The sequence below is a fragment of the Homo sapiens genome, chromosome 4 (genome assembly GCF_000001405.40).
Source record: "Homo sapiens chromosome 4, GRCh38.p14 Primary Assembly".
NCBI classification, from domain to species: domain Eukaryota; kingdom Metazoa; phylum Chordata; class Mammalia; order Primates; family Hominidae; genus Homo; species Homo sapiens.
Genome location: NC_000004.12, coordinates 36,149,368 through 36,163,034, shown reverse-complemented (window position 1 = coordinate 36,163,034; position 13,667 = coordinate 36,149,368). Strand labels below are relative to the sequence as shown.

Here is a 13,667-nt window from a genome sequence, read left to right as displayed (position 1 = left end):
GTAACATGTCAAAAATGGAGCCATCGTTGTTCCCCTCAGCCCATTTCATAAAACTGCACATTTTCATATATTCTCAATCTTGGTCAAAAGCAATACTGTCTACGCTGCACACTCAAAGCCTAAAATCTGAGACACCTTCTTGACTCTTCCTCTTTCCTTCAAACCCACCAAGTCTCATTCATTTTATCTTATCAATCTCTCTCAATCTGTCTGCTCCATTTTATTTTCCTGCTGCCTCAACTCAGAATCTGTCATGCCTAGGTTACTGCAGCAGTCCCTTTCATCTCTTCCTACAGGCTTTTAAGTTTTTACCTGCTGGGTACTGTATTGCCTGTAGGTAGTCATTATAAATGCAAACCTATGCAGATTTCTTCCAGGGGAATTTAGGGCTTTGTGCTTTGAATAGTTTCTACTTAAAAAAAAAAAAAAAGACAAGAACTTCTTACCTATTGTAGGGAAAGGAATGAACATTCGTTGTTCATTAGACAAAGGGCCCTTAAGATCAAGGATAGTGGACTGTACACTTTTTTTCCTTCTCAGCTTTGAAATAATCTGACATAGCCTGGTTGCTCAGTGATGACTGAATGATGATTTATACAGCACAATTGAATTGACAGTAATAAAATTCTGGGCTCTTACTTTCTTCCAGACATATTTGCTGAATAAAGTATTCATGTCAGATTTTTAAGTACACACTTATTAGACATGTAACTAGTTTTTCAATAGTCAAGTTTTTGTAACAGTAAAGAAATATTATCTGCATTTACATACGTGGGGTTTTAGCAAGCTTTACAAAAGGTTTTCAGTGGCCTATTTCTAGCTGATTACCAAATGAGGAAATATTTATACATGTGTCTGTACATATGCACTCATGCACATATATATATATATATATTTAAGTAAGTGTAGTTCTTTTTTTTTTTTTTTGAGACGGAGTCTCGCTCTGTCGCCCAGGCTGGAGTGCAGTGGCAAGATCTGGGCTCACTGCAAGCTCCGCCTCCCGGGTTCACGCCATTCTCCTGCCTCAGCCTCCCGAGTAGCTGGGACTACAGGTGCCTGCCACCTCGCCCGGCTAATTTTTTGTATTTTTAGTAGAGACGGGGTTTCACCCTGTTAGCCAGGATGTTCTCGATCTCCTGACCTCGTGATCCGCCCGCCTCGGCCTTCCAAAGTGCTGGGATTACAGGCGTGAGCCACCGCGCCAGGCCGTGTAGTTTTTTTTTTTTTTTTTTTTTTTTTTTGTCAGTGCAGATGCTGATGATGATTGCTGCTGTTTTTATTGTAGCCAGCTGCGATTTGTCTAATTCTCACCACTACTGTTAGTGCTCTTGTCATCTTGTTATTGAGGAAAGCAGGTATTGGTGTGTTTTAAGTTGAGAAGATACGCAACGAACATACACAGACATATGCACTTTCTTTCAAAACAAGGTAAAATAAATTTACATACAAATTAAAATAGAAATGCAATTGTGTTTTGACTCTAGGACAGCATAGATCTTTAGGACCAAAAGATTCCAAGGTTAGAAGTCTAAAAATGGATGCTAGCATTTGGAGCAATGAACTCATCGAGGTGAGTCCTATTTAACCTGAATGGGGTTGTGATAGGGGTTCAGTTTGCAGAGACTGGGAGGAGGTTTGCTGTGGGTTTGGGTGGCAGGAATTTTTCTCGGGGCTGTTTGATAAAGTTCTCACCACATTATGGAAGTGGCTTATAGCCTTTTTGATAGTAGTAACTCTTTGAGAATGCTTCCTAAATGAGATAGTTATTTTAAAAGTATAGAAGATCCTTAATAAGTACTTAGAAAGGTTTGCCAGCTTGTTTTTTTTTAATGCTAGAACTGTATATGTGTGTGTGTGTGTGTGTGTGTGTGTGTGTGTGTGTGTGTGTTTGTGTGTGTGTGTTTTAAACCCAACATGGGTAAAATAATAGGAGAGTGAATGAAAACATTTGGAAAAATTTACTGTTTTTACCTTGGCCGTACTCTGTCATTAACTGTGATGGAGGCTACTTTGCTGTGTCCTGTCTCCATTTTTGGCTCCTTGTTCCACCACCAAGCACTTCAGACAGCATTAGCCCACCTACTCGGCCATTTAAAGTGAAGCTGTCTCAGTTTGAGTGTCAAAGAATGAAAATACTTTTGCTACAATTTGTGTTGTTTGCAATTCTTTCCAAGCTAATTTTTCTCCATTATTTAGAGTGGGTAGGCTGTATTAAAAACTGATCATAGTATCTGCTTTCATACTTCCTTTTTCTGGAATAGTTGAGTCTTTCATGTGTTTTCCTGTATTTTATACTAAGTTATGCTTTAATTTGTAATATAATTCAGTTTCCTGCAGATTCAAATATATTTTATGAACTGATATATTATGGGGTTTTTTTTTTGACAATTCAGCTTTTTATTGTCATTGGAAACAAAAGAGCAAATGACTTTTGGGCTGGTAATCTTCAAAAGGATGAAGAATTACATATGGACTCACCAGTAGAAAAGAGAAAAAACTTTATTACTCAGAAATATAAAGAAGGAAAATTCAGAAAAACTCTTTTGGCATCTCTCACCAAAGAAGAATTAAATAAGGTATTCAATTAAACATAACAGCAGACGTGGATTTTAATGTCTTTTTAATGATGTGCCAAGATTCTTGAGAAAAAGTAAAAAATTTTATACTATCTGACAAAATTATTAATTTTATTTTATTTCCTTTTGTGACATTATTTCAGTGGTTTCCCCCTTGTTTCATTTAAGGATTCATTGTCAAAAGAGCATAAATTCTTCCTCCATAATTGAAGTTTCCTGCTAACTCTTGTTGCCACAATCTGAGGATTTGGAAGCAAATGGGATCCAGTAAAGTGAAGTCTGAGGACTGATATAATGTGGGAAGAAAGGATGAGAAGAGATGTAGAGGCAGCTTATTATTTCAAGGCAAAAGAAAAAAAAAGGATTCTAACAGTTCCTATTGTTTGTACAAAGATGATATATAACATAAGTCAATAATATTTTTTATTGCCGCCTTCTCACTGTTCTTCCTCCTTCCTATCCTCGGCCCCTGAGGGGAAGATCCTGAATTTGCTTTGCACTCATCTTTCAATTTCCCATAGCACTTAATAATTCAAATATTCTGCAGCTCCTGATTAGATTGGAAAATATATATTAACATTCACATGAAAAACACTTAATGGTTACTTCATTATTATATTGAAATATTTTGATTCTCTGCGCATCAGTCATTATCATAGTATGTAAGCATAAAAATGTCTTCCAAAGCAAGTATGATGGATTAGGTTTAGAAGGAACATCATAGCAACCAAACAATGAATTGAGACCTGGAGGTCTTGGGTTGTAATTTAAATTCACATAAACCAGGCCTTTTGTGCCTATTGCCTAATTCATGGCATAATTATTATTAGCCGCCTTAGGATAAAAGGAATACAGACTTTATCCCATACATGAAATTATCAGACTTTCACTCATTTTAATAGCTAGAATCTTATTTTCTTTCCTTAAGATGTATATTTTCTTTTAATGACCAGGCTCTATGTGCTGCTGTAGTGAAACCGGATGTTCTAGAAACAATGGCTTTGCTGTTCAGTGGAGCAGATGTCATGTGTGCCACCGGAGACCCCGTGCATAGCACCCCCTATCTGCTAGCCAAGAAAGCTGGGCAAAGTCTGCAAATGGAATTTCTCTACCATAACAAATTCTCAGGTTCGTCACTGTCTCTTCATTAACCTGGTCTCTTCTGATAGATCCGTAAAAGGACTGAAGCATAAATCTATTGATTTTTCAAATAAGAGAAACCATCAGAATGAAGAAAAATGTAATTACCAAAAAGATGGAGATGCCTAAGACTATTTTTTATATCATTTCAATGAAAAGTTTAGGAAGTCAATCTTTTATGTTCCCGTAATCTTATAAATGTAAGATTAAAATAGCTAATCCCACATAATCATTTCCACCAACATTAAATCCGATTTTCATATATGAATAATAAATATGACTTAAGTGCTTATTTGCAAATTTTATGCAAAGTAAAATAAGTATCTCTGTAATTATTCTTTGGTAAATTTGAAGTAGTTTTTCTTCTAGCTCAAAACTCATGTACATATTATAAACAAAAGGAAAATTGTTTACATTTTAGATTTCTTGTGCCTTATTTCTTTAATTTTTCTAGATTTCCCTCAACATGATATTCATTCCGAGGGTGTATTAAGTCAAGAGTCTTCCCAGTCCACATTCCTCTGTGACTTTTTATATCAAGCTCCTTCTGCTGCTTCTAAACTCTCTTCAGAGAAAAAACTGCTTGAAGGTATTTTTTCTCTTCTTTTTAGATATTATCAGATAAAAACTTTATTCCATTATCAAAACAATTAGGTTTAGATTTTGATTTTTTTGAGATGTTAGATTTGATCTCCAAGTAGAGATATTTTTGAGGATTTATAAATGCTTCTAGGTGCAAATATTATTTCATGTACTGCAGCAGGGATTTACCATTGGTTGGAATGCTGAGTGAATTCTCAACAGAATTCACTTATGTCTACCTTAAGGCTAACCAATTCTGTTTCAAGTTATAAAGGTTATTCCTTTATAACTCAGCCCCTTTCCTTAGGGATGGACACCCCAACTGGCTCACCAGATAATGTAGATAAATGTGAACACATAGGAAGAAATGCAGGTTTTTAGTACATATTCAATTAGAGTACTAAGTAATATCAAATAGTTCAGGTTTTTTTTTTCTGATGAAAAGTGTGTGTGTGTGTTTAAGTAAAATAAAACTTAAGCTTGGTTTCAAAAAATGATGGGAATCTGATTTAACAATATATTCTAGGTTTGGGGAATTATCTGAGCAGAGTTACAATGGGGCATTTATTCATTTATCCTTCCAACTCCTTGTGTCAAACCAATGCTATGTATCGGGATTTTAGAAATGACTAAGACACAGTCCTTATGCTCATGTATATACATTGGAACAAATCTAAGAAATATAGGCAGGAAAATATAATGCAGTCTGCCTTACTGTAACAAAGAGTGTAAGAGAGATTAAGCTGTACATGCCAATTGATGGTGGCCATTGATCGGGCTCGGGAGCCTAGTATTCACTAGGTGGTATAGTTCAGTGATATTACTCAATCAAAAGAATGATAGGATGACAAACTCACTGTAGAGTGTTAATCCTCATATATGTGATTTGAAGTTCTTATTTCAATATAAAAGCTTTATTTCCAAATATATATATATATAATATATCCTAAAGCAGAATTATGTTGGGATTAACTATGCATTATTAGATTTTCCTGAAAAGAATAGCTGTCCTGTAGTGAGTGAGTATGTACTATGTGTAAGGCATGGCTTTAGATACTTTATATACATTAATTGTAATCCTCATGAAAGTCTGCAAGATCGTTGATGTGATGTCAGTTTTCACCTGAATAGTGAAGCTCGGCGTGAAGCAGAATTTTACACCTGATTTGTGTTATCATTGTTACAGGAGCACTTTGGCTTTGGTCAAAGCGTGACAGCCAGATGACAGTAGAATGGCCGAGCATTTTTATCCTTTGAATTAGATGTTTTTGGTTCTTTCGACAATTGGTTTTTGTCATCCTTTACTCAGCCTAACCAATAATAAATGTCAGATTTTACTGAGTTTTTTTTTTTTTGTCTTCCATTTTTACTGTCAGTATTATCCCTAAGTAGTTAAAAGATAAGTGATCAGAAGATGAAAGTTCTTGGACAGTCTGTGAATTGACTATATCAATCATCAAAATAATTACGGTACTTTCATAAAAGTTTAGGAGAATGTTTCTTCTAAATACTGGGATATCACAGACTTACTCTTCAAACCACTTAACTTTTATAAAGATCAAATGGGGATTGAAACACGAGATTTTCTTCCTAAGGCTTTTCAATATGTTGTAAGCATTCTGCAGTTTAAAAATAAGCTTTATTTTATTTTTTGGCAATTGTGGTTATAATATTTATAAAATTACTAGTCTTCTTTAATATTTTCTTGAAACAGATTGGTTTTTAAATTTACTTGAGTACCTCATTGATGTAATAAACAATTGTAACTAAATAATTCCTTTTTTGAATATATTAACAATGGATTTTTGGTTAAAATTTATTTAAAAAAGAAACTGATGCGTTATCTGTATATGTAATTTAACTAGGGATATTTTTCCATTTTAAAACATTGCATTTTAGGTAATACGAAAGTGAGCTTTTGTATTTTGTCTGTATAATTCAATAGCAATGATTTTAGTGAACATAATCTGGCAGGGTATTCTTTGATTGTCTTAATATCTTCCATCCAATTTACCAGCAAATTCTATCATTTCAAACTCAAAATAGATCTTAAAGCAGTTGGCTACTCTTCATTTCCACTGAAGTCCTCCCAGCCACAGTCACCATCCTGACCTACCTGTGCTGCAGTGCCTTCCTTAATTGTCTTTCTGTATTTACCCTAGCTTCCCTTCAAAACTGTCTCCAAAAAAGAGGCTTATCTTTGTTTTCCTTCCTTCCTTCCTTCCTCCCTCCTTCCTTCCTTCCTTTTTCTTTCTTTCTTCTCTTTCATTTCTTTCTTTCTTTCTTTCTTTCTCTTTCTTTCTTTCTTTCTTTCTTTCTTTCTTTCTTTCTTTCTTTCTTTCTTTCTCTCTCTCTCTTTCCCCCTCCCTCCCTCCCTCCCTCTCTCTCTCTCTCTCTTTCCCTCCCTCCCTCCCTCCCTTCCTTCCTTCCTTCTTTCCTTCTTTCCTTCCTTCCTTTTTCTTTCTCTTGCTCTGTCACCCAGGCTGGAATGCAGTGGCACAATCTCAGCTCACTGTAACCTCTGCCTCCTGGGTTCAAGTAATTATCCTGCTTCAGCCTCCTGAATATCTGGGATTATAGGCATCCACCACCACACCCAGCTAATTTTTGTATTTTTAGTAGAGATGAGATTTCACCATGTTGACCAGGCTGGTCTCGAACTCCTAACCTCAAGTAATCTGCCTGTCTCAGCCTCTCAATGTGCTGGGATTACAGGCATGAGCCATTGTGCCCAGCCAATTATCTTTAAAAATGGAAATCACACAGGTAGTCAGGAGGCTGAGGTAGGAGGATTGCTTGAACACAGCTTGGGCTACATAGGAAGACCGTGTCTTCTAAAAGTAAACAGCAACAACAACCAAACAGGAAAACTGATCATGTAATTCCATTGCTCAAGTATACTTACTGGCTCCTCATTCCAGAATATAACCTTATTTTTTATTGTGACCTAAAAGACCTTTTTAGGAGAATGACGTGAACCTGGGAGGCAGAGCGTGCAGTGAGCCGAGATTGCGCCACTGCACTTCCAGCCTGGGAGACACAGCGAGACTCGGTCTAAAAAAAAAATTAAAAATAAAAAAAAAAATAAATAAAAAATAAAAAAGACCTTCTTGTACCTCCCTCCCTTCATCTCCTGCATCTACTGTTATTCTTCTCCATGGTGGTGTGGTCCTCTACATGGTTACTTGCCTGGCTGCACTGGTTTCCTCCTTATTCCTGGAACATGCCAAGTCCTTTTCTGCCTCTTCTGGACCTTTTCACCTGCTGTTCCCTATGCAAAGAGGGCACTTCCCTCAGTCTGGTTCCTTCTTCTTATTCAGGAATCAATTCAGTGCCCCCTAGTTAGTGAGGCCTCTCTGGCACCCTGCTAAAGTGTGAGCCCACTGCCAGCCCTTCTCTTTCATAGGATGCTGTGTATGTTTGTCCTACCACTGATCACATGGAGATGATCCTGTTTCCATTTATTTGTTTCTCTTTCCCCCTGAAGTGAAAGCTCAATGAGGCATCAGCTTTTTCTAGCTTGTCAAGGATTATCAAATCTTTGATACCCCAAACAGTGTCAGCACATGGTAGGACATGATAAATATTTGTGGAATGAATGAAGAATCATTTTTTAGGGAAGTTACTACTAGTGTAAATGGGTGACTCATATATCAATATTTTTGTTTTGATCTGTGGATAAAAAGATATAATTGCTGGCACAAAGCATATCTTGTGCAGAAAGCCCCTATTTACAAATAAACAGGAAAAGTTGAACTATCCAGAAAAACTTCTGATTTTGTTTCTTTTTCACCCTTGAAGTTTGTGCAATAGTGTTGTTTCTGTTGAACATCAGATTTATGGAAAAAAATGAATTATTTGGAAAGTTTTAGAGATTAAAGTGTGGTTGTCACCTTTGCCTCTGAAAGCAAGCACCTGGATGCTACCACTCCATCAGCACTTGTCAGGACAGCCATAGAGCAAAATGATTAAAAACAAAGACAAAAGTCTGGGAATAAAATGCATGCAGTCCCAGAGTTACAGAGGCTTCAAATTGTCAGTTCAGGTTTTTAAGATTTGAAGTTTTTCTGGCCTCTGGTTATAAAGACTGATCTGTATTTTTCTTTCTTTTTTTTTTCCTTTTCAATTTAGTGTTCATGAAAAGAAAGATGGATTGCTTTTGTTGAACCTAAGTACACAGTTGAATAATAGCATCCTGGTTTTGTTTTCCCTTTTCCCACCTCAACCATATTTTTTCCCTTGATATCTTACCTTGATTTGTTTACATAGTATTTGATTTTCAAAAAGAAAGTGGTTGATTTGGATTACTAGAAATTCTATTTCTGTTTATATTTAACTTTGTAAATTAGCATTGAGGAATTTTGAAGATATTTTGTTCTGTGAAATCCTAGATTGTATAGCTTAAACATGTTTTTCCAAGGCTAAATCACATGTATTTTAAATGAAAAGGATTACTAATGTATCTTACTGTTTGTAGTGGGTGCCGAATACTATTAATTTAGGAAATTCCTCAACATGAAGCAAATTCATAGTTTCAAAAATAATAGTTTTGTCTTAACTACCTCAGATGTATTGTACACATTCTTTACCGTAATACATTTTTTGAGTTGAATGTATATAGTTCAAGCATATAACAGATACAGTGAGTAACTGTTTGCAAGCATAAAGAGGGCAGCTTCCAGAACCCACCTGCCTGTTAGGTTAAAGCAGCAACTTTCAGAACCCAATTGCATGGAGTTCCTTCCCCAGCTCTGATGCTAAATACTTAGTGTGACCTCAGGAATGTCGATTAACTGTTATGTGCCAGTGAAAAGGGTACAAGGAAGGGGAACAACATAACTGACATAATTGGGTTGGTCTGAGGATTCAATGAGTTAAAGCATGAACAGTGCATGGCACATAAATATGATGATGATGATGAAGAGGAGGAGTAGTGAAGGGCTTATGTTTAAACAGTTTCCCCTGGCTTCCAGTTAGCCTATGAGTTTAGGTATGTTGTCCTGTAGGCTGTAGCTGACAATCAAGGTATCCAACTATATTACGCATATCATTCCATGGTAGCATTTCAGTGGGTCACCTCTGGGGAGTTCTTTACCTGTGCTTGAGTAAATCCTGTCGTAATGTTTTTCTTCACTGATCTCAACATGAAGATTGAATTGAAAGAATGAATAATCCCTCTTGCCAATCCACTAACTTTACTTGCATCTTACATATAAGTTCCTGTTTATGGAACAGCTAAGTCCTGAGTGTCATTCATTCTGTGGCCCCAATTTTATGTTGGTAGACAGCTTCCTTTAACAATTAAAATGACTTGTGGAGCAGAGAGGGTTTCATGGAGGGTACCGACATTTCTCAAAGTCAGATTTAGGAGTGAATATCTAAATTGGCCCAAACAGACCAGTATCATTCAATATAATCTTGTTAAACCTTTAAATTGCTTCCCATATCAATGGGAATGTCACGATTTCCTGTCACAGCTTTGTTATTATAAACCCTCAAAGACAATACGTGCACCTGCCTTGTCTGACTTCTGGCCCATTTCACTTACAAAAATAAAGCTAAGAAATGGTTACAGAAATGAAAATGCTACAGGACTGACTCTCCTCAAGCTTATTATTCTAACTGAAAATGAGTTTGTACATACCCTTTTAAAGAGATCTGTCATTTGTTTCCCATTAGAATTTACATAATGAGATCTGCAGTCACATTTATGTTATGCTTAATTCATTTGGCACTGTTTGTTTAAGACCTTTGAATGGCTCCCACTTGTCTAAGTGAGAGAGGCACAAACTCCTGAACACCCATCAAGTGAGACTCTTAGGGTCTGGCCTCTGCCATGAACCTGCAATCTTGTTTCCCATTTCCCAACTTCACGTGTAATCTGATTCTCTGGGCAAATAGGGTTTTTGCAGTTTCACCTTTCTATGACTTCCCTCATACTGTTCTTTCCTGATATTATGGAAGGATTGTAGCTCTGAATGCATTTTTTGCTACTTTAGAAACATGGCTCCTAAATCGTAAGGGATTATTTTATAGACATTTTTCTTTGCAGTTTTTTTTTTTATCACTTCAGTATGGTGGGGGGGCTTACCTCCTTGAATGCTTCTAATCTACTAAAGAGACAACCTGCTGATTATCATTTTGGACACATCTCCCCTTTCATTGGATTATAAGCTGCCTGAGAACAGGGGTGGATCTCCTAATCTATGCCAGTGATTATCTATGTACTGAATAATTATGCATTTTTTATTTATTCTCTTACAAAGATTCTTCTAGACGTCTGAATACATTGTTTTGAAATTACTTCCAAACTCCCTTTGATTCGTATTTTGACTTTACCTTTTCTTATATTTTAGAAACTCACAATGAGTGTTCATTTAAAAATTGTGGCTTTTCATGATTTTTATCTAACTGTGCAGGACATACACTGTGACTCAAGATTTGAGGGCCCTGGAATTATATTTCACCTTTGACCAGGAATTGCTTTGGTCTCTGTTAACTTTCTTTTCCATTGTCCATAAAGGATTCGTTTATGCTATTTGCTTCTGCCAGTTATGATTGGACTTTTCATTTGGTAATTCATTTTCAGAATACTGTGTCCTATCTAGCTCTCTAGGTGTCACTGTTTTAATGGTTACTCCTTGTGATTGTTTTTTGAAGCCAAATACATTGTCTTATTTTCTTTCATGTCACCCCCACACCCACCTAAGATTCTAATCATATGCTAAAGGAAAAATTTGAAATTAGTTTAATATATTCTTAAACTTTTAAATTAGTTTGACTAATAATTTGAGACTTACAGAAAAGTTCTAAGAATAGCTCAAATAATTCTCATATACATTTTACCCAGATGTATCAATTATTAGCATTTTACATTTGCTGTATTTTTCTTTCTGAGTATGTGTATATATATGCCTATGTATAATACACATACATATGTATCATATGTATGTATATACGGGTATATATTTATCTCACACTTTATATGCACACTTAAAAGTAAGTTGCAGACATGATACCACTTTACCTTTAGTAATTCAGTATGCATTTCTTAAAAAGAAAGGCTTTTATAAATAATGCCCTAAAGTAACCACAGAACAGTAATCCAGCTTCAGAAATTATCTAATATATAGACTTTATCCATTATATCTAATATATAGACCTTAGTAGTCTTAATGTCTGTAGATCTAATCTATATTTTAGGTGATGTTCTGATTTAGCCTGCAGGTGGTAATGTGCTGACTTCAGTATAAGATGAATTTGAAATCTTCTGAACAAGCATTAAGGGCCGTGCAGATTCTGATCCTTCTTCCTTTGCATACCTACCACAAGCTGCAGTCTCACTTTTCATGCTACGTTTTTGTTTTCCTTTTAATACTCTACAGACATTTTATTCTTTGCAGCTTCAGAGTTGTTTTTCAGCAACCTCTTTACAGCTCTGCCTTCTCTGGTTATCAATGTCACAGTCATTTTTGTTTTGTACATTCCTTGCTACTAGATTGTAAATTCTTTGGAGAGCAGAGAATGTGACAACTTTATATCCCATGCAGCAATAACATATACTTTATGTGAAATAGGAAATTAATAAATTTATTTACTTGCATCCAGCCATTATTTAGAAGTATGTTTTTGTTTTTAAAATTGGATTCGTGATTAGCTCAATTTGTTATTTGTTTTGTTTCAAATTCTTAGAGACAAATAAAAAATGGTGTGTTTTGGAAGGAGGCTTCTTGAGTTACTATGAAAATGATAAGTCTACCACACCTAATGGCACCATTAATATCAATGAAGTTATCTGCCTGGCTATACACAAAGAGGACTTCTATTTAAATACTGGGTAGGTCTGTCATTACACAATTAGGAGGTAAAAGGTATTTTCAGATAATTATAACAGGTAATGAGAGTTTTGTTATCATTTTAGTTCTTTAGTTGCTTCTAATAGAAGGGTTGAATGGTTTTTGAAGCTTACTTATCTTGCGCCTTCTGAAATTTCTTTTGGGAATTCACTACAAAGTAGGAAGACTAAAATATTTATAGTAGGTAATATGAAGTGCTAGCATCTTCGAATCAAATCTTATGTAAATTTTTTTTTTTTTGAGATGGAGTCTCGCTCTATCACCCAGACTGGAGTGCAGTAGGCGATCTCGGCTCACTGCAACCTCCGCCTCCTGGGTTCAAGTGATTCTCCTGCCTCAGCCTCCCGAGTAACTGGGATTGCACATGCTACCACACCCAGCTAATTTTTGTATTTTTAGTGGAGATGGAGTTACACCATATTGGCCAGGCTGGTCTCAAACTCCTGACCTCAAGTGATCCGCCCACCCCGACCTCCCAAAGTGCTGGGATTACAGGCGTGAGCCACCGTGCCTGGCCAAATCTTATGTAAATGTATAGCATATCACTTATGACCATTATAGTCATTTAATTTTGTTACTTATTATTTAAAATAGTGGACTAGTGGTAAAATTCATTTATTCATTTAATGAGTATCATAATTAAAACAGGTAAGAAAGGAGAATATTCTATGACGATCTGTTCACATTAAAATAAACAATATTTAGTAGCATATTGAAATGCTAAATTTCTTAAAGAGCTGTTTGTTAATTTAATGGTCAGAAAAAAGTAACAATGAATAGATTAAGCATTATTTATGTAATATATTTGACTCACATCTACTATGGTTTAAATAAATCTTTGTCAGGACTTTAAAAGCAGGCCATCTAAGATCTTTGGTGTGAAAGTGTCTTATCATGTTTTTTGATGTAATTAATGAAAAACATTGATATTAAAATCTGAAAAAAGTTTTATAGGAGCATAGATTTTAAATAAGATTTTTATATGAGAAAGGAAAGAGATTTGCAAAGCTGTTATTTACATAAAACTACATTGAACATATTACCTTTATTATATGATGACTAGTTGAGATGACTTGTTTTATAGTAAATCTGATTTGATTTTTGATGTGAACAAAACTGATTATTAATTGACTTGTTTTTGTTTTAATAGTGCTTTTACTCTAAATGATTATTCAATGTAATATGACTTATGGAATGTTAAAATAAGTAGATTCTATATATTAAGTTACTAAGTAGTAAATGAAATATAAAAAAGAATAGTTTATATCAGCATATTAATATGTTTAAAATATTCTTGATAACATTACTGATACAAGTAGCTATGCAGAGAGAAAGTATCTACAATGAGATGTGGTTAAAAAATAATTGTTGCCATAAAATTCTTGCTGAATTGCCTCAAATAACACATTGGAGAGTATGACCTCAATAATGTAGGCACTGAAGATTTATATAGACATATTTTAGGAAGAGAGCTGGAAGAAGTGGTAAGGAGATTGGAGGAAGAGAGACTAAT

At 35.3% G+C, this 13,667-nt stretch overlaps 1 protein-coding gene across 17 annotated transcripts in view; it reads left to right on the top strand.

Moving 5' to 3' along the window:
- Nucleotides 1–13,667, top strand: part of ARAP2 (ArfGAP with RhoGAP domain, ankyrin repeat and PH domain 2) — a 239,381-nt gene that overhangs the window by 81,750 nt on the left and 143,964 nt on the right. For all 17 annotated transcript variants that reach the window (XR_007096351.1, XR_007096352.1, XR_007096353.1 and 14 more), the window contains 5 exons: nt 1,485–1,570; nt 2,394–2,576; nt 3,530–3,704; nt 4,171–4,305; nt 11,991–12,135. Coding sequence is in view for 7 of the 17 variants with exons in the window: in XM_047449575.1 (XP_047305531.1) it covers nt 1,485–1,570; nt 2,394–2,576; nt 3,530–3,704; nt 4,171–4,305; nt 11,991–12,135 (724 nt within the window). In the remaining 10 variants the exon portion in view is untranslated. The remainder of the gene's footprint in view (nt 1–1,484; nt 1,571–2,393; nt 2,577–3,529; nt 3,705–4,170; nt 4,306–11,990; nt 12,136–13,667) is intronic.